General features: G+C 42.8%; 1 long non-coding RNA gene across 4 annotated transcripts in view; it reads left to right on the forward strand.

Annotated features, from left to right (window-relative positions):
• Positions 1 to 424: 424 nt before the first annotated feature.
• LOC105374910 (uncharacterized) overlaps positions 425 to 20,947 on the forward strand; it is a 102,802-nt gene continuing 82,279 nt past the window's right edge. For 2 of the 4 annotated variants that reach the window (XR_001743950.2, XR_926441.3), the window contains exons 1-2: positions 425 to 504; positions 10,058 to 10,164. This is a non-coding gene — a long non-coding RNA (uncharacterized LOC105374910). The remainder of the gene's footprint in view (positions 505 to 10,057; positions 10,165 to 20,947) is intronic. The other 2 variants (XR_926440.3, XR_926443.3) reach the window with 1 other exon arrangement.

Genomic DNA, 20,947 nt, shown 5'->3' on the forward strand with positions numbered 1-20,947 from the left:
GCATACAAATATATTAATGTGCATTTGGGCATGGAAGTCATACAAAATAGGAAAACCTCAAAGAAATGACCAGATGGTTGATGCTTTTAAACCTTCTTGAGGTTACGGAAAGAATGGGGGCTTGGAGGAAGATGGCAAAACAGGTTATGGTGCCAAGCCAGGTTATGGGAGGGAGAAAAGAGGACGAAAGGCATGGGGCAAAGGTAATCTTATTAAGGAGATGAAACGTCACAGGGATCAGCACTCAGAAAGAATGAATGGTAGCCTTGGTATTTGCTTATCAGTTAGCAAATACCTTTAAAGGTTTAAAACTCTCAGTTAATCTTTTCTAGATCTGGATAAGGGGGGAGTGTCTCAGAGAAAGCTTATTTGCATCTGTTATTTACTTCATTTTATTTCCTCTACAGATGTAACCTTTCCCCTCAGTAGACAGCTTTGCAGGCTGTTCTTGTGTTTGCAGTCCCTGTGTATAGCCTTCTCAAAATACAAACGGCATATTTTGAGGTAAAATATTTTCAGCGCCTTTAAATGTTTGTATTTCCTTACTGATTTTCTATCTGACTGGTGTATTTATTATTGAAAGTAGGGTAGCAAAGTCTCCTACTGTTATTGTAGATCTATTTCTTCCTTTAAGCTGCCAATATTTCATTCATATATTTTGGAGTTCTGATGTTTGGTGCATACATGTTTATAATAGTTATGTATTTTGGTGAAATCACTCTTTATCATTATATGATGTCCTTCATTGTCTCTTGTAACAGTGTTTGACTAAAAGTCAATATTGTTCTGATCCCAGTATAGCCACTCCTGATCTTTCTTGGTTACTATTTGTATGGAATGTCTTTTTCATCTTTTTACTTTTAACCTGTACATGTCTTTAGATCTAAAGTGAGTCTCCTATAGGGAGTTGATAGTTGAGTCCTGTTTTTTTTTTTTTTATTTACTCCATTCTGTTAATTTATGTCTTTTGATTGAGGATTTTAATCCATTTACATTTAAAGTAATTACTCACATGAAAGGACTTACATTTGCCACTTTAGTAATTGTTTTCCGCATGTCTAATAGCTTTTTTCCCCCTCATTTCCTGCCTTCCTTAGTGTTTTTTGTAATGACTCATTTTCATTCCCTTCTCATTTTCTTTTGTGTATATTGTTTTTAAATTTTTTTTTATTTTATTTATTTATTTATTTTTGAAATGGAGTCTCACTCTGTAGCACAGGCTGGAGTGCAGTGGTGTGATCTCAGCTCGCAACCTCTGCTGCCTGGATTCAAGCGATTCTCCTGCCTCAGTCTCCTGAGTAGCTGGGATTACATGCACCTGCCACCATGCCCGGCTAATTTTTATATTTTTAGTAGAGACAGGGTTTCAACATCTTGGCTAGGCTGGTCTTGAACTCCTCACCTCATAATCCACCCGTCTCAGCCTCCCAAAGTGCTGGGATTACAGGCATAAGCCATCATACCCTGCCTCTTTTGTGTATATTCTATAGATATTTTATGTGTGGTTACCATGAAGACTACTTGTAACATTCTAAAGTTATAACAATGTATTTTAAATTAAAACCAACTTAACTTCAATTGTATATAAAATCTCTATTCTCTTATAGTTCAGTTCATCAACTTTATCTTATCAATGTCATCAATTACATCTTTATGTATTATGTACCCATTATCATTTACAATTATTTTTATGAATTTGTTTCTAAATCCTATAGAAAATAAAAAGTGAAATTACAGCCAAAATTAAAATCATACTGTTTCTTATATGTATTTACTTCATGTATTTACTTTTACCGGAGAATTTTATATTTTCAGATGGCTTTGATTTACTGTCTAGCATCCTTTCATTTCAATTTGAAGGATTCCCTTTGGCATTTCTTGTAGGGCAGGTCTAGTGGTAATGAATGACCTCAGCTTTTTGTTTATCTTAACATGTCTTGGTTTTTCCCTCACTTTTGGAGGACAGCTTTGCCAAATATAGAATTTTTAGTTGATGATTCCCCCCCCCGGCACTTTAAATATATTGCACCACTACCTTCTGGCTTGCAAGGTTACTCTTGAGAAATCCACCAATAATTTTATTGAGGGCCTCTTATATGTGATCAATCACTTTTCTTTTGCTGCTTTCAAGACTGTCTCTTTCTCTTTAGTATCTAAAGTTTGATTATAATGTATCTGAGTGTGGGTCTTTTTGGGTTTATCCTACTTGGAATTTGCAGAGATTCTTTGTAACTACATGTCTTTTCTCAAATTTGGGAAGTTTCTAGCCATCGCTTCTCCAAATGATTTCTGCTTTTCTCTCTCTCTTTTCTCCTTCTGAACTTTCATACTCGTCCTCTTGATGGTGTCCCATAAGTCCTTTTGGCTCTGTTCCCTTTCTTCATTCTTTTTTCTTTCTGTTTCTCAGACTCAGCAATTTCAAGTGATTTGTCTTCAAGCTTGGTGATTCTTTATTATGCCTGGTCAGGTCTGCTTTTGAACTTCTCTAGTGAATTTTCAATTTAGTTATTTTAGTCAGCTTCTAGTTTTTATTTTTTTTGTTTTAAAATTTTGCTGATAGGTGTGTAGTTTAATCCTGTGGTCTGTCATGTTGGGTAACCTGCTACATTGTCATCAAATTTGTTTAGTAGAAAACGCTTATATCAATGAAGAAGAGGTTAGGGTGCATTTTAACGTCATGGAGAGCAGAATTGATAAACTGATATTGGCCATTAAATGTCTCAGAGGTTTATCAGTATAAAGATCACTTTCTTTCAAAATGCTCTATATTTTAAAAAATCAGCTTTCAAAATATTCTTATACAATGGAGAAAATATTGTGCCCTGAATTTCAAAAGACAGGTGCAAGGTTTTGTTACAGGTTAGAGAACAAGACAGGGTTAGATTTCAGGCAGGTAGTGTCTTCATCATCAGAATGTAACATTCTTCCCTTATGCAGGATACATAAATCATAATATATCTGTGAAAAACCTCACAGTTGTGTGATTGTCTATCAATGGGCTGTCTCTAAATCCTGAACAAAGTGGCAGCCAGAGTAACAATGCATTAGGTTTAGTTTCTGTTTCCCAAGACACAGACTCTTTGCATGGCAAAGAGAAAATATATTAAGGCAGTGTGCAAGCATGAGGCATCATTGACCTTACACATAACTTAGCTTATTCTTTGCATTGTCCTTAGTAAGGAGTTCACTTTTTGATTATTTGTTTGTTTGTTTGTTTGTTTTTGAGATGAAGTCTGGCTCTGTTGCCCAGGCTGGAGTGCAGTGGCATGATCTTGGCTCACTGCAACCTCCGCCTCCTGGGCTCAAGCAATCCTCTCACCTCAGCCTCCCAGGTAGCTGGGGCTACAGCCTCATGCCACCATGCACGACTAATTTTTGTAATTTTTTGTAGAGATAGGGTTTTGCCATGTTGCCCAGACTGGTCTTGAATTCCTGAGCTCAAGTGACACACCTGCCTTGGCCTTCTAAAGTGCTGGGATTACAAGTTTAAGCCACTGTGCCTGGCTAATTAGCTTTTTTAAAGTGCTAAAGATTTTTTAAAAACTAAACAAATTTTAGAGGATTTATAGAGATGCATTTTCAGGAAGCTGGATTATTTAGTTATGTTTGATGTGTCATTTATATGACCCTAAACAAATTAAAAGAGAAAAAACTTCAGTCAATTCACTAGTGTACACAAAGACAGGTGATATTTTTGATAAATTTTCCACCATCAAATTAATGAAATAACTAATTGCTTTGATTTCTGTTACACAAAGCCCCAAAGCTGTCAATGCTAGAAAGTAGCACAATTAAATTCATTTGCTTTTTACAGAAAATGAAGGGCCTTAAAATGTTTGGAATATTGAAAGCAGGTATTGGATACTGGGTTGGTCCATTCTCATGCTGCTATAAAGAAATAGCTGAGGCTGGGTAATTTATAATGAAAAGAGGTTTAATTGGCTCACAGTTCTGCATGCTGTACAGGAAGCATGATGCTGGCATCTACTTGGCTTCTGGGGAGCCCTCAGGAAACTTACAATCATGGTGCAAGGTGGATGGGGAGCAGACATGTCACATGACTAGAACAAGTGCAAGAGAGAGATGTGGGAGGTGCCACACACTTTTAAATGATGAGAACTCACTGTTTTGAGGAAAGCACCAAGGGGATGGAGCTAAACCATTCATGAGGAATCCGTCCCCAATGTCCCCATGTATCCATCCCCAATCACCTCTCACCAGGCCTCATCTCCAGCATTGGGGATTACAATTCAACATGAGAGTTGGTGGGGACACAGAAACAAACCATATTAGATATCTTCTTAAGCTTGCTGGGAAACACATGCAAATTACTTTATTTACACATATATAGTACAATGGAAGAAGACAGAGAATCTCTGGCTTAGTCTGGAGAGTTAATCTAATTTTTTTTTTTTTTTTTTTTGAGACGGAGTCTTGCTCTGTCGCCAGGCTGGAGTGAAGTGGCACAATCTCGGCTCACTGCAACCTCCGCTTCCTGGGTTCAAATAATTCTCCTGCCTCAGCCTCCCAAGTAGCTGGGACTACAGGTGCGCACCACCACACCTAGCTAATTTTTGTATTTTTAGTAGAGACGGGGTTTCACCATGTTGGCCAGGATGGTCTGGATCTCTTGACTTCGTGATCTGCCTGCCTTGGCCTCCCAAAGCGCTGGGATTACAGGCGTGAGCCACCACGCCTGGCCTAAATTTCTTATTTGTTAATTGAGCATAGATATTTCATATAAAATTTTCTTTGAATGCACATAATTTGTTATTGATTTATTTACTCAAAAATATTTTTCAAGTGCTTGAGATGCACCAGGCCTGTAAGGCACTGATTCTGAAAGAAGGTATAAATGGAGACTGCACCCTTAGAAAATTTGCTTTTGGGGGGATATAGGCCTTAGAGCTGTGATGACTGCAAACACAAAGTGAAGAGTTGCAAGAAGCTCAAAGACAAAGGTTAGGAAGCTCAGAAAGAGGAGTATTGTTTTTGCTGGGCAGAAGGGTGGCTTTGTGGGAATGGTGCTGTTTAACTTGTCTCAAAGACTGGGTAGGATTCAGATATTTAGGGATGGAGAACAGCACTCCAGGCAGAATGCACAGAGCGAGTGCTGCCAAGGTGCCATGGTGCAGGCTTTGAAAGGGAGCCCTTGGTTTGAGGTGGGACACAGGATAAAATGATGTGAGGTTTGGAATAAGGCTAGAAAAGAAAGAAAACGTTTGAATTTATTGAGTGCCTACTTTGCAGCATGTATTGAGAGTTGCTTGTGAGAATGTCATAGTTTTCAACCCCTAAAACTACTGTCCCCAAATAAGTTTATTTCTCCCTTTTGTTATTTCCTTTTTGTAAAGTGTTATTGTTGCTTTTCTGCAGTTGGGGAAACTGAGGTGTAGAGAAGTTAAAGGACTTGCTGGAGATTGCCTCTTCCCAAGTGGCAGGACTAGCATTTAAAGCTAGTTTTGACTGACGCTTTTTTTTTTTTTTTGAGACAGAGTCTCGCTCGTCGCCCAGGCTGGAGTGCAGTGGCACGATCTCGACTCACTGCAACCTCCGCCTCCCGGGTTCACGCCATTCTCCTGCCTCAGCCTCCCGAGTAGCTGGGACTACAGGCACCGGCCACCACGCCTGGCTAATTTTTTGTATTTTTAGTAGAGACGGGGTTTTACCATGTTAGCCAGGATGGTCTCGATCTCCTGACCTCAGCCTCCCAAAGGCTGGGATTACAGGCGTGAGCCACCGACTCTTAAGTACAAGCTCTTTCTGGTCTACTGCACTGCCTTGAATGAAATCCCAATGAAATGGAAGGTGAGAAGCCTCTGAACCTCTGAGGGTTTTTTTTTTTTTAATTTTTTTATTTTTTGAGACGAAGTCTTGCTCTGTTGCCCAGGCTGGAGTGCAATGGCGCAATCTCGGCTCACTGCAACCTCCACCTTCCAGGTTCAAGCGATTGTTTCACCTCTGCCTCCTGAGTGGCTGTGACTACAGGCACATGCCATCATGCCTGGCTAATTTTTGTATTTTAGTCGAGACGGGGTTTCACCATGTTGGCCAGGCTGGTCTCAAACTCCTGACCTCAGGTGATTCGCCTGCCTCGGCCTCCCAAAGTGCTGGGATTACAGGCGTGAGCCACCGCGCCTGGCCCCTCTGAGGTTTTGAGCAGTTGAGAGGCAGTGTTAGGGGTCCTTGTTTATAAAGCTGGTGGAGCCTGAAGGCTGGGCTGGAGGAAACCTGGTTTTTCAGTTTTATCCTCACTGAAGAAACGTACTAATTTGTGTTTGAAGGAAACTTAACTTAGTAATACACCTTTTTCTAGATGCTACTAGGCTACAGTGATCCCTGGGCAGCTGAGTACAGGATTACACTTACAAAATTGTAAAATTTTATTGAGTGCGGTATTGAGAGGTGACAGCGTGCTGGCAGTCCTCACAGCCGTCGCTCGCTCTCGGTGCCTCTTCTGCCTGGGCTCCCACTTTGGCGGCACTTGAGGAGCCCTTCAGCCCACCGCTGCATCCTGGGAGCCCCTTTCTGGGCTGGCCAAGACCGGAGCCGGCTCCCTCAGCTTGCAGGGAGGTGTGGAGGGAGAGGCGCGAGCGGGAACCGGGACTGCGCACGGCGCTTGCGGGCCAGCTGGAGTTCCGGGTGGGCGTGGGCTTGGCGGGTCCCGCACTCGGAGCAGCCGGCCCTGCCGGCCCCGGGCAATGAGGGGCTTAGCACCCGGGCCAGTGGCTGTGGAGGGTGTACTGGGTCCCCCAGCAGTGCCAGCCCGCCGGCGCTGCACTCAATTTCTCACTCGGCCTTAGCTGCCTTCCCGCGGGGCAGAGCCCAGGACCTGCAGCCCGCCATGCCTGAGCCTCCCACACCCTCCATGGGCTCCTGTGCGGCTTGAGCCTCCCCGACTAGTGCCACCCCCTGCTCCACGGCACCCAGTCCCATCGACCACCCAAGGGCTGAGGAGTGCGGGTGCACGGCGCGGGACTGGCAGGCAGCTCCACCTGCAGCCCCGGTGCCAGATCCACTGGGTGAAGCCAGCTGGGTTCCTGAATCTGGTGGGGCCTTGGAGAACCTTTATGTCTAGCTCAGGGATTGTAAATACACCAATCGGCACTCTGTATCCAGCTCAATCGGCACTCTGTATCCAGCTCAAGGTTTGTAAACACACCAATCAGCACCCTGTGTCTAGCTTAGGGTTTGTGAATGCACCAATGGACAGTCTGTATCTAGCTACTCTGGTGGGGCCTTGGAGAACCTTTGTGTCCATACTCTGTATCTAACTAATCTGGTGGGGATGTGGAGAACCTTTGTGTCTAGCTCAGGGATTGTAAACGCACCAATCAGCGCCCTGTCAAAACAGACCACTCGGCTCTACCAATCAGCAGGACGTGGGTGGGGCCAGATAAGAGAATAAAAGCAGGCTGCCGAGCCGGCACTGGCAAGCCGCTGGGATCTACTTCTGCACTGTGGCAGCTTTGTTCTTTCACTTTTGGGTCCCCACTGCTTTTATGAGCTGTCATACTCACCGTGAAGGTCTGCAGCTTTACTCTTGAAGCCAGCGAGATCACAGCCCCCTGGGAGGAACAAACAACTGTAGACGCGCCGCCTTAAGAACCATGACACGGCCGGGCGCGGTGGCTCACGCCTGTAATCCCAGCACTTTGGGAGGCCGAGGCGGGTGGATCATGAGGTCAGGAGATCGAGACCATCCTGGCTAACAAGGTGAAACCCCGTCTCTACTAAAAATACAAAAAATTAGCCGGGCGCGGTGGCGGGCGCCTGCAGTCCCAGCTACTCGGGAGGCTGAGGCAGGAGAATGGCGTGAACCCAGGAGGCGGAGCTTGCAGTGAGCCGAGATTGCGCCACTGCAGTCCGCAGTCCGGCCTGGGCGACAGAGCGAGACTCCGTCTCAAAAAAAAAAAAAAAAAAAAAAAAAAAAAACCGTAACACGCACAGCGAAGGTCTGAAGGTCTGCAGCTTTAGTCCTGAGCCAGCCAGACTATGAACTCACCAGAAGGAAGAAACTGCGAACATATCCGAACATCAGAGGGACCAAACCCCAGACGCGCCACCTTAAGAGCTGTAACACTCACTGCGAGGGGCTGTGGTTTCATTCTTGAAGTCAGCCAAGACCAAGAACCCACCAATTCCGGACACAGTATCTTATCAATTACTGTGCCCAGCGCACTAACGGACGTTAAGTAACGAATAATCACCAACCTGAAGCTTGTTGCTATCATAATTTCACTGAAGGGAAAAATTGGGGCTGAAAGAAGTTAAGTCACCTGTTCAAGGGTAGAGCTAATCAGCGGCATGTTCAAATATAGGGTTGTTTCCGTAATTTTGTAGTAGTCTATTTGCCCAGAAAGGCAAAGGAATATTAATTTTAGAAAAGGCTGCACCGAATTCTGCCACCTGTGCAGGTAGCCTCCCTCTGGACTCCAGATGCCACTGTGATTACCCCATTCTGACCCACTCTTGGAGCTTCCTGTCACCAGCCATCCATTCTCTTCTCTGTCTTGGTTCACTCCTGAGGGCTTCCTGTGTTATCCTAATGTGCACCCTAATGTACACAAATCACTTTCACAGACAGTGTCATGAGTATGAGGTGAGCAATTCATCAATGTCAACATATCTTTGATGAACAGTGGTTTGTCTTTGCAAGGCCTGAAAGAGTCCAGTGGATTTCTATTTGCTGTGGCTTGCTGGGGATTGAAGGGATTATGGTTGATGAGAGGTTTGAAATTCAACCAGTTTATTATTAGTGGGGGCACATGAAGTTTGAAAATCTTGGTTGTCTTGATCTGTCTTTTTTCCTTTTCTTCCTTTAATCTTTCCCTCCTTACCCCTTCCCTCCCCTCCCCTACCCTTCCCTTCCCTTTAAATGTAAGGGGAAAAGGGCACACTGGTCAGAAATGCAATGAGCTAGTTGTTGGTTTTTGTCACAATTATTCATATGTCCACTTCTATTTTTTCCCACTTGATAGTTAAACCAAACATCTAGTTTTTACTGCCTTCTCAAAGTACATAATTCATTTAGGTTCAGTGTACTTATTGAGTGACTTATGTGCAAAGCATTGTACTAGGTGTTCTAGTACTAGTGTAAAGAGTAATTCACATTAAAATGGAAAGATGATGACTGAGTGAACAAAATTTGGGATGTCTTGCCTCTTGTGTTTTTCACGTAGATGTTGCTTACTTCAAATGACATGAACAAAGGTCCTCATGTAAAGCTGGAGGAAAAACAAAGTCAATTGCTTTAAGCTATGGTTGGTAGTTGGTAATTCGTAACACTAATTACAGCTGATACGAAGACTACAATAGATTTGTTATAAGTACCTATAATTCCCCTTTATCAGGCTTGAATTATATTCCATGCAGCTTGGATAGCTTACAGTTGCTAAAGGCTCATGTATAATATACCTACATCTCTAGACATAACACTCCTTTTTGTCAATCTGGGAAAGAATATAGTGAGGATTGACAATTATATTGTTATGAAATGAGCCATCTTTTGTCATCCTTGCCAAGTTCCCTTTTTCGGCTGGCCCTAGTGGCTAGGGAAAAGTCTGAAATAGTGATTTTTCAGTCCATCCTTTGAGTTTGAAGAAGCATTGCTATTATTATAAATTTATCCTAGGAAAATTAAACAAAATAATAGCTTCATAGAAAATTAAGCTGCATAAAATTTCCTTGTCAGATGAGAACAGGCTGAGGATTGTCTTTATTTTGTTTTGATGACTGCGTGTGAGTGTGTGGGGTTCTTTTTCCTTTCCTGGAGCTGTATCAGATTGTGGGTCCTCAGATATTTAGGCTTCTCATAAAAGGCAAGACTTATAAAAAATCTTGGTGAACTTTAGACTAGAATGAATTTCATGTTTTGGGTAACCTTGGGATTTTGGTGGAGACTGGTTTGGGATAAGACTGATTCTGGAGTTGTTGTAAACACCTAGAATTTTTGTCTTTTTTTGATCAGTGACTATATTTCTTGTTTCTTGTTGCTGCTGCAGCAAATTACCAGCAACTGGGTAGCTTAACACAGCAGAAGTTTATTCTATCACAGGTCTGGAGGCTAGAAGTCTGAAATCAAGAAGTCTGCATGCCCGTACTCCCTCCACAGGCTCTAGGGGAGGATCCTTCCTTGCTTCTTCCAGCGTCTGGTGGCTCCAGGTATCCCTTGACTTGTGTGCACACCACACCAGTCTCTGCCTCTGTGATCACATTGCTTCCTTCTCTGCAGCCTATCTCATATCTCCCTCTGTCTTTCTCTTATAAGGACATGTGTCATTGGATTTAGGTCTCACCCATATAATCAAGGATGATCTAGTCATCTTGAGACCCTTATCTTAATCACATCCACAGAGAACCTTTTTCCACATGAGGTCCCATTCATAGGTTCCAGGGATTAGAATATGGACATGTCATTTTGGGAGACTCTATTCAACCTCCTATAGCGGTTTTCAAACTTGTTTTGAATCAAAGGAAGAAATACATTTTATAGCATAAACTAGCCCATTGTACACAGGGAAATAAATAATTTCACAGAACAGTGCTTTCTCTTACCGTGGGAGATGTGTTCTGTTCATTTTCATTCCATTCTATATTATTGCATTCGATTCCAACAAAATCTTGTTTAATAACCACGTAGACAGATCTGATGATCCATCAATGATGTTGCCACCCACAGTTCTGGATCTTAGATGATATTGGGTTGTATGAGAACGTCTGGACTCTGTGCACTGGGGAGCACTGCTTTGACTTGGATTCCTTAGGACCGGCTGCACTGAATTGGCTTTGAAGGAGTGGGTGGGAGGTTGAAAGGTGTTATCAGAATGTTGCATTATTTGATGACATCTTAAATACATTAAACGCAAATCACCAAAATTTACTGACATATTTTCACGCATCAGGCATTGTGTTAGATATGAGAACCAAAAAAAAAAAAAAGATGAGAACCACAAAAATGAATTACCCAAACCCACTCCTCAACATTTCCTAAATTTTCTTTTATGTTGTACCATACAAATGATTTTAGATATACATTCTTAATCACCAATTTATCTGCCAAGGCAAATAGCTGTAAATGTCCACTTATTAACTTTTCACTTAAGTACTCGAAATACAGTGTCCCACCGAAGCACTTAAATTCAGACTTTATAAATTGTTTTAAGAGGATTTGGAGGCAATTAGGAGAAAGCCATTTCAGAGAAGATGCTAATCTGAATTTCTCATAATTGTGTGGACATTTTAAACACTTTGCAAGTGAGACTATAAATGTAAAAGCAGCGACCAAAAAGTTCTGCTTCATTTCAAGCAGGTGACGTAAGAGAACTAAAATCCATGATTAAGAAAAATGAAATTGTATAAATTATAGCAGAAATGCCTGTCATCGCCTACTAAAATGCCTCCAGGGGGTTAGATTAGAAAAAGAAAATTACTTATCTGTAATTCTTATTCTCTTTAGGTAGCAATTATAATAGATATACACTCTTGGGTGTAAGTCATTGGTGTGAGAACCAGGAGTAGACTCGAAGTCAGCTAAAGAATTATAACCCTCAAGGAAGGCGTACCCTGGGACGTCAAGGGCAAAATGTATATGGAATGTCATTGCCCCCGAATATCATTCCTATCTGACCATTGAAAAGCGCAGGTGAATTTGGTCCCTCGGAAGAAAAGAGTGGCTGAGTGGATCTATTATTATTATCATCGTATATTAAATGTAAAAAGGTCTAGCCGCAGGCAACATTTGTGAGTTGGGTCTACTCATTTTCTCTGTGCCTTTCTGCCTACTTTAGGAATCCAATACCCACTTACTCGCCATCCCCCTCACTCTGCTCTTAGGAAATACCTCATTCAATTTATTTACACCGAAGCCAAGGCATTCACAGTAGCAAGAGCCTTGGAGAGGGAATAAGAAGCCACAGGCCTGCCTGTGGCTGGCTTGGCCACCCATTTATTCTGAGATACCAGGTGAGCCATGTTAGCTCTTCGAGTGAGCTTCCGTGTCCTCATTCATATAATGGTGGGGTAGAACGAGGGAGCGCATTTCTTTTGTTTTTTGGAGACGGAGTCTTGCTCCATCTCCCAGGTTGGAGTGCAGTGGCGCGATCTCAGCTCACTGCAACCTCCGCCTCCTGGGTTCACGCCATTCTCCTGCCTCAGCCTCTCGAGTAGCTGGGACTACAGGCGCCTGCCACCACACCTGGCTAATTTTTTTGTATTTTCAGTAGAGACGGGGTTTCACCGTGTTAGCCAGGATGGTCTCGATCTCCTGACCTCGTGATCCGCCCGCCTTGGCCTCCCAGAGTGCTGGGATTACAGGCGTGAGCCACCGCGCCCAGCAGAGGGGGCTCAATTTCTAGGAACACTTTCATCTCCATGATTCTAGGTAAGGAAGACAGGACAATTAAAAATAGGCTAATTTTAGGGTAAACTTTTAGGCTAACGATGATACCCTTGAATGTGGCCTTTAAACTTGGGAAGAATTGACATTGAAGCCATAGAAATGAAGACTAGCTTGAGGCATCCATTGGGACCCAGGCAGGTATTTGGTGGGATCATGTTTGTTTGATCTAAACCTTTGTGGCAGCTACACAAAAACCCAAGACTGGCCCTAAATGTGCCTGTGTGTAACTTGAGTTGAGACACAATTAGCCTAAGAGCCCCTGGGTAAGGGAGCAGTTTCTGAAGCTGCCACTGGGGCAACATTAGTGCGGAGAAGCAATCACTCCTGAAGGGTTACTCCAATGTCTGAAAGAGCTAGGGACATTCCCAGCAATGGCTGCGTCATTGCTAAGGAGCAACTTACACATGGGAGTGTTTCTCTTTTTATTTCTTTTTAATGTGCGCAGGGACTAGCTGCTTGTGCCTCTTTGAACATAGGGGCAGAAAAAGGAATTTCATTCTTTTCTCTCTTTCTCACACCAATCTACACATTCCTTCTCCTCTGAGGCGATTCCAAGCCAAATGGAAGGGAGAAGTACTGGGAGGCCTTGCCCAGGTTTTATATGGTTTTAAAGGGAATGAAAGGTTTTTCTTTGGGTGGGAATGACCAGAGGTTTGCAGGGGTATGTGCTCCTGTGACCCATCACCTGCTTTGGCTTATAGTCCTAACTAGAGGCACCACTAACCAATTCTCCTATCTGGACCCCTGCTAGGGACCCCCTCAGCCAACATAGAGGTACTTCATATGCATGTTTGAGATTTTTTGTAGTGAGGCATGAGTGCGTATGGCTCAGCTGGGTCACCCCTGAGCTCACATCCTAAGAATTCAACATTGCTCTGTGACCTAAGGCCTGTGGACCTGGGCACGGAGGCCAGAGGAGTGCACTTACAGCCCAGGGAAGTTTTGTCCTTTTCCTCCGTTTATCCTGCAATTTAAAGGCCAAACACTGATAAGAGTTAAAGATACAAAAGAAAACAAGACACTGTGCTGTCTTCAAGAATTTTATTGTTTGGGCTGGGCGTGGTGGCTCACGCCTGTAATCCCAGCACTTTGGGAGGCTGAGGTGGGTGCATCATGAGGTCAGGAGATCGAGACCATCCTGGCTAACATGGTGAAACCCCGTCTCTGCTAAAAATACAAAAAATTAGCCGGGCATGGTGGTGGGCGCCTGTAGTCCCAGCTACTCGGGAGGCTGAGGCAGGAGAATGGCGTGAACCCGGGAGGCAGAGCTTGCAGTGAGCCAAGATCGCACCACTGCACTCCAGCCTGGGTGACAAAGTGAGACTCCATCTCACAAAAAAAAAAAAAAAAAAAAAGAATTTTATTGTCTGATGGCGTGAGGACATTTCCAAATCAGAACTCTGCAAGATTTGGGGTTGACCCAAACATAAGGTCATGCCTGGCGCCACACTTGCTTTTTCACTGTTTCCAATGTCCCTATTGTGACAACACACATAATATGGTCTTGTCCAGAAAGTGGAATCATATGCAATTTTGGAAAACTCTAAACAATTATTTAATTGTTAATAGATTGTTCAGGGGAGTCAGAGCCATCCCCAGGACACAACTCTTTGGAGCAACAACCCTTGACCCTCGTGCCCTGACACTGAAGCCACAGGAGGCAGCAGGAGATGGGACATTGAGTGGGATCCAGAACATTTGCCTGTTCCAGTTGCCCTTTTTCTATCAATATCTATCAATATTTTCTCACTTCAAATGACCTGGGATGTATGCATTTCTGGAGCATAGTTCCCTGGAAAATACACTCATGAGTTCCTTAACTATAGGAAAACCTTTTGAGAAATGCATCGGTAGGCAGTTTTGTTGTGTGAACATCATTGAGTGTGCTTGCACAACCCTAGCTGGAACAGCCTCCTAGGCTAAATGGTACAGCCTGTTGCTCCTAGGCTACAAACTTGTACATCAGATTACTGTACCGAATACTGTAGGCAATTATAACACAATGGTATTTATGTCAAAACATATCCAAACATAACAAAGATACAGTAAAAATACAGTTTAAAAGATAAACATGGTATACCCGTAGAGGGCACTTACCATGAAATGAACTTGCAGGGCTGAATTGCTGTGGGTGAAACTGTGAGTGATTGGTGAGTGAAGTGAAGGCCTAGGACATGACTTCACACTACTGTAGACTTTACAAACACTGTACAGTTAGGCTACATGAAATAATGAATTCACCTTAGCTTATTGTCACCTTTTTACTTCATAAATTTTTAAATTTTTTTAATTTTTGACTCTTGAAATAACACTAAGCTTAAAACACAACCGTATTGTACAATTGTCCAAAAATATTTCCTTTCTGTATGTTCTTATTCTTTTTTCTATTTTAAAAAATTTTTAATTTTTTCCTTAATTTTTTTTTTGTTGTTGTTGTTACAAATGAAGACACAAACATATATGTCAGCCTAAGCCTACACAGGGTCAGGATCATCATTATCACTGTCTTCCATCTTCACACCTTGTCCCACTAGATGGCACTTGATCAAATATCACTTTCTCCTGGAAGCTGACCCTAGCTGCTTCAGGTCTTCAGGGGCAGTGACAGGCAGGAAGCTGTCATCTCCTATGATAACAGTGCCTTCTTCTGAGATCCCTCTGGAAGGAACTGCCTGAGGCTGTTTTACAGTTAGAGTTTTAAAAATAAGAGGCCGGGTGTGGTGGCTCACGCCTGTAATCCCAGCACCTTGGGAGGCCAAGGCGGGTCGATCACCTGAGGTCAGGAGTTCGAGACCAGCCTGACCAACAGGTGAAACCCCATCTCTACTAAAAATTCAAAAATTAGCCGGGTGTGGTGGCGTGCGCGTGTAATCCCAGCTACTCAGGAGGCTGAGGCAGGAGAATCACTTGAATCTGGGAGGCGGAGTTTGCAGTGAGCAGAGATCATGCCATTGTACCCCAGCCTGGGCAACAAGAGCAAAACTCCATCTCAAAAGTAAAAGAAGAATGAAAAGTATAGTATCGTAAATACATAAACCAGCAACATAGTTGTTTATTATCACTATCGAGTATTCTGGGCTGAACATCACTGCATGAGCTAGACTTTCATATGGCTAGCAGCACGGCAGGGTTGTTGACACCATCTTTGCCACAAACACTGGAGTCATGCCCTGTGCTTTGATGTTACCATGGTTATGACGTCACGAGGCAATAGGAATTTTTCAGCTCCATTATTTTACAGGACCTCAGTCATATATGTGGTCTGTGGTTGACCAAAACATTGTGACATGGTGGCTGAGCGCAGTGGCTCACTCCTGTAATCCCAGCACTTTGGGAGGCTGAGGCGGGTGGATCACTTGAGGTCGGGAGTTCGAGATCAGCCTGGCCAACCTGCTGAAACCCCATCTCTACCAAAAATACAAAAAAAATTAGCCGGGCATTGTGGAACACGCCTGTAATCCCAGCTACTCAGGAGGCTGAGGCAGGAGAATCCCTTGAACCTAGGAGGAGGAGGTTGCAGTGAGCTGAGATCGCACCACTGCACTCCAGCATGGGTGACAAGAGTGAGACTCCATCTCAAAAAACCAAAAACCGAAAACAAAAAACATTGCCACATGGTGCATGACTCTACCACATAAACTGAGTAAACATGGATGTCCTGTATAGGAGATGGAACTCTGCTGTAAGTGACGTGAACTCTACAGATCACTTAGAGAGGTCATGTCCTCATCTCAGCTGGAGAGCATCTGCTGTGGAGAGGACCTGGCTGCTTCCAGACCTCTCTGCCTGACCCCTGACTCTTGATGACCTGTGTCCTCAGAATGACCAGGAAGGCTTGACACTGAGCAGAATCTCTAATTCACCTGAGATTGATTTGACAATCTCATCCTTTGTGTCACTTCAATTTGCAGATCGTTCCATTATTGGCAGCTACTTTTCTTAACTTTTTCCAAGTTGCATTTGATAAATTTTTTCATTCATTCATTCATTCTCTCATTCACTCTCTCAACATATATTTATTGTATGCCTACTTCATGCCAGATACTCTTCTAAGTGTGGGGGATATAGCAGTGAACAAAAAAGACAAAAATCCCTGCCTTCATGGAGCTTACCTTCCAGTGGGGAATGATAGGCAACAAATACCAGTAGGAAAGTCAATGATGTTAGAAGGTAGAAGTCATGAGTATCACCGGAGAATAAAAAGCAGGATAAGAGAGATGAGGAATGCAGTGGGAGGTGTAACGATTCCAAATGAAGTGGCTAGGGTCAGCTTTCATGAGAAAGTGACATTTGATCAAGTGCCAGAAGAAGGGGAGCCATGTGAATGCTGGGGGAGACCTTTGTGGACAGAGGGAGTGGCTGGGGAGGTGGGAGACTGTGTGGTCAGTTTGAAGCACAGACGTGTCCTGTGTGGCTGGACAGAGGACGGCAGAGGCCCGGAGGGGTGAGCTGGTGTTCGCTCACAGATCATTGAAGGCTTTAGGGGTCATTGGGAAGGCTTGAGTTTTCCTCTGAGTAACATGAGGAGATCTGGGAAGATTTTGAGCAAAGGCGTGACATGTCTTGACTTGCGTTTTTAAAGGATTGCTTTGACTACTATTCATTTTTAACCAGAATTCACCTGAAAAACCTGTGGGAGTGAAAGGTGGTGGGCAGGGCCCTGGAGGGAGCGGCAACACTTTAGAGGCAGGTTTATGCAAAACTTGCTCAGAGAATGGGGTGCAAGAAGTCTTCATGGAAGACATATAAATTTGTCCTGAGCATCATTTTAAATAAAACTTTGTTAATTTTGAAATATAGCACACTTAAAGAAGAAGGTGCGTAAATCATAAATACGCTGCTTAATGAAATATAATAAAGCAAATACTCCAGCCTTAGAGGCGCCCGTGTGCCCCTTTCTAATCACAGCTCCCAGCCTACTCCCCAAAGGCAACCAGTTTCCAGACTCTCATGGTGGTCACTTCCTTGCTTACTTTATCTTTTACCATCTATGTGTGGATACTGATGCTCTGTATTTTTGCCTACTTTGTTGGGTGTCTGGCTTCTTTCTCTCAAGTTTATGTGAGTGACTCATCCAGGTTGTTGTTTGAGGCTGTGGTTTGTTTTCATTGCTATACATTTCATTGTGTGACTCTCCTTCAATTTTTTTCACCTGTTCTACTGTTGACAGATATTTGGATTGTCCCCTGCTATGAATATCCTTGTACAAATCTGATGTCCACATGCAGCCATGTCTGTTAAACCTATAACCCAGGACTAGAGCTGCAGGGTTGTAAAGTATATAGATATATTCATCTTTAGCAGATTACATTAGTTTTTTTGTTTGTTTGCTTGCTTGTTTTTTTGAGACAGAATCTTGCTCTGTCTCCTAGGCTGGAAGGCAGTAGCGCAATCATGGCTCACTGTAGCTTCAACCTCCTGGGCTCAAGTGATCTCACTTCAGCCTCCCAAGCAGCCGAGTAGCTGAGACTACATGTGTGGGCCACCAGGCCTGATTTTTTTTTTTTTTAGAGACAGGTTCTTGCTTTGTTGCCCAGGCTAGTTTCAAACTCCTCACCTCAAGGAATCTTCCCACTGTGGCCTCCCAAAGTGTTGGGATTGCAGGTGTGAGCCACTGCGTCAGGTCAGATTCTTATTATTAGTAGTAGACTATCTCTTCCAGAATGATTGTATCAATGTACACTCTTTCCAGATGTGTGTCGGAATTATCCTTGATATATATTCTTGTCTATACTTGACATGTTACTCTTTTTAATTTTAGCGATTCTGCAGGGTATATAGTGACACCTCAAAAAGTGGTTTTAATTTGCATTTCCTGTGTTACAAAGGAGTTACACACCTTTTCACATATTTATTGTCCATTCGCATAGCCTCTTTTGTGAAGTCTTTGGTAAGTCTACTGCTTATTTTCTATTGGCGAATCTTTTTCTTGTTGATTTGTAGGGCTTAAAAAAATTCAGGATATGAACAGGTCATGAATGACAAGTAGCCTGTCTCACTCTCTGGCTTAGCTTTTCATTCTCTTATTGATGTCTTTTGAAGACCAAATATTCTTAATTTTAATGTGGCCATATATTTATCAATCTTTTCCTTTATGGTTTGTGCCTTTATGTTTTATTTTAAAAAATCTTTCTCTTCTTTCTATATTATCTTATAAAGTCGTTCTATTTTGCCTTTCACATTTAATCTAGAATACAACTGGATTGATTTTTATGTATGATATGAGGCAGAAATGCTCCCTTCCACTCTCCCTTCCTCCTCCCTCCCTTCATTCCTTCTTTCCTCCCTTTCTTCGTTTTTCTCCTTCTTTTCTTTCCTCCCCCCCTTCCTTCTTTTCTTTCTTTTTGAATTCTTTCCTCCCTGCTCTTCAGTGTCATCTCTACCATAAATCAAGTGCCTATAGATACATGGGTGATTGTCCTTCAGATTTCATTCTAAACTAGCTCATTTGCCTTTTCCTTTGAAAGAAAAGTCTAAACACCAGAAGTCTGACAGTGGTTCTCAAATTTGGCAGAGGTTTGGAATGATGAAGATACAGAAGCCTGGGTCCCACCTCCAGGGATTCTATCTGGTTGGGCTGGGACGTGGTCTGGTCATCAGGATCTTTAAACCTCTCTGATGGGCAACTATGGCTGAGGCTCAGGGGAAAGGAAGACAGGGAGAGCACACTGTTATCATTATGGTTGCCCCATAAAAGGCAGGATTCCTGGTGAAGGCTGAATTCCAGATCATTAACAAATAACTTTTTAGTATGAATGTGTCCCAAACAGGGCATGAGACATACTTATGCTAAATAATTACACGGTGTACCTGACATTTGTATTTAACTGAGTGTTCTTTCTCTCTCTCTATAAAACTATTTTTTATATATATATTATATATATAAAAATAGTTATATGTGTGTATATATATAATATACATATATATTTATACATATATTTTTCGAGACAGAGTCTCACTCTGTTGCCCAGGCTGGAGTGTGCAATGGCGCAATCTCGGCTCACTGCAACCTCCACTTCCTGGGTTCAAGTGATTCTCCTGCCTCAGCCTCCTGAGTAGGTGGGATTACAGGTGTGCGCCATAATGCCTGGCTAATTTTTTTTTGTATTTTTAGTAGAGACAGGGTTTTGCTAGTTGGCCAGGCTGGTCTCCAATTCCTGACCTCAAGTGTCTGCCTGCCTGCTGGCATGAGCCACCATGCCTGGCCTGTGTTCTATATTTTTATTTGCTGCATCTGGCAATACTTGTTATCAAAAAATGATTCCTTACACTCTGACCTTGTTGGAACCACGGTCTTCAAATACCGTTCATCTTCCCCACTCCATCATGGTGCTGTGCAGGGCTGCTCTTGTTGGGTTGATTTCTCTTTATGTCTCCAGCTGCCTGAGTAGCTCCTGACTATTCCATGAAACAAAATACTCATAACTGGACTACCTGGTGGCATTACAAAAAAATGTCACTTGCCTTAATGGGGTTTCAGACTTAAGAAGGCAAATTTAAGAATAAACAATTGGGGCAACATTCTTTGGAGAATGAACAATGAAAAGACTGACAGAAAATGAAAAACTGTCACAGAAAAATGAAAGACTGACAGAGCAAAGATTCACAAAGTCAATGATTTATACATGGTACAATTAAAACCAACAGAGGGAATCATGAGCACCTTCCTTCTCATTTTTCTGGACTAGACTAAGTGAAGTAGTTTAATTAGTTGGGTGACTCATAGATAGGACGGTGTCACAGATGGTCAGTTTGTAGAAACAGACAACAGAACCTCCCCCTTCCTTCCCATGTCTGTAGATGTATGCATGCCTAAGTCTCTACCATCACTGGAGAGTCTGTCCTTCACTGCTCAGCCTGGCAGGTGTTGCTCTTGAGTCCCTTGGAAGGTTCTAGAAGGAAAAGACCTCTCACTCCCCAACTTGGACTGTCGCTGTTGTGTGATCATGAGGCTTAGAATCCCTCACAGCAGTAGTTTTGCTGCTGGCTTGTCATAGTATCAAGAAATTATTCCACTCCCACGTTTTTTGGGGATTCCTGACTCTTGCTAAGCGCTGAAATGCCCACTTATTCTCAACTTTGAGAGATTATGTTGTCTTGAAGGCAGAAAAGGGTACATGTATGAATAAATGGTTGAGGCTGAGTTCATTATACTGGTGGCGCTTTTTTCAGAACATTGTCCCTTTCTTATAGCATCCTATTTGATTTTAACAGTAACCCTGCCTGCTGGGTAAGTAGGGCAGGCATTACTTCCCTTCCTTTACAGATGAGAAAATAAACTCAGTACAGTTAAATAATTGCATAAAGTGATACAGCTAGTAAATGACAGGTAGAGAACACAGGTCCTTTGGCTCCTAATGTCTTGCTTTTTCTAGTATTAGTACTCCCTGACAGAGCACTACCTAAATTTGCGTGATCCTAACCACCACTTGAAGATCTTGTTCAAAATGTGTGGATTCCTAAATCCTTTCCCTGACTATTCTAATGCAGTGAGGTTAGGGTGGAACTCAAGAGTCTGTAATTGAAAGACTGACCTCAGCAAATTAG

This window comes from Homo sapiens, chromosome 6 (assembly GCF_000001405.40).
Source record: "Homo sapiens chromosome 6, GRCh38.p14 Primary Assembly".
NCBI classification, from domain to species: Eukaryota; Metazoa; Chordata; class Mammalia; order Primates; family Hominidae; genus Homo; species Homo sapiens.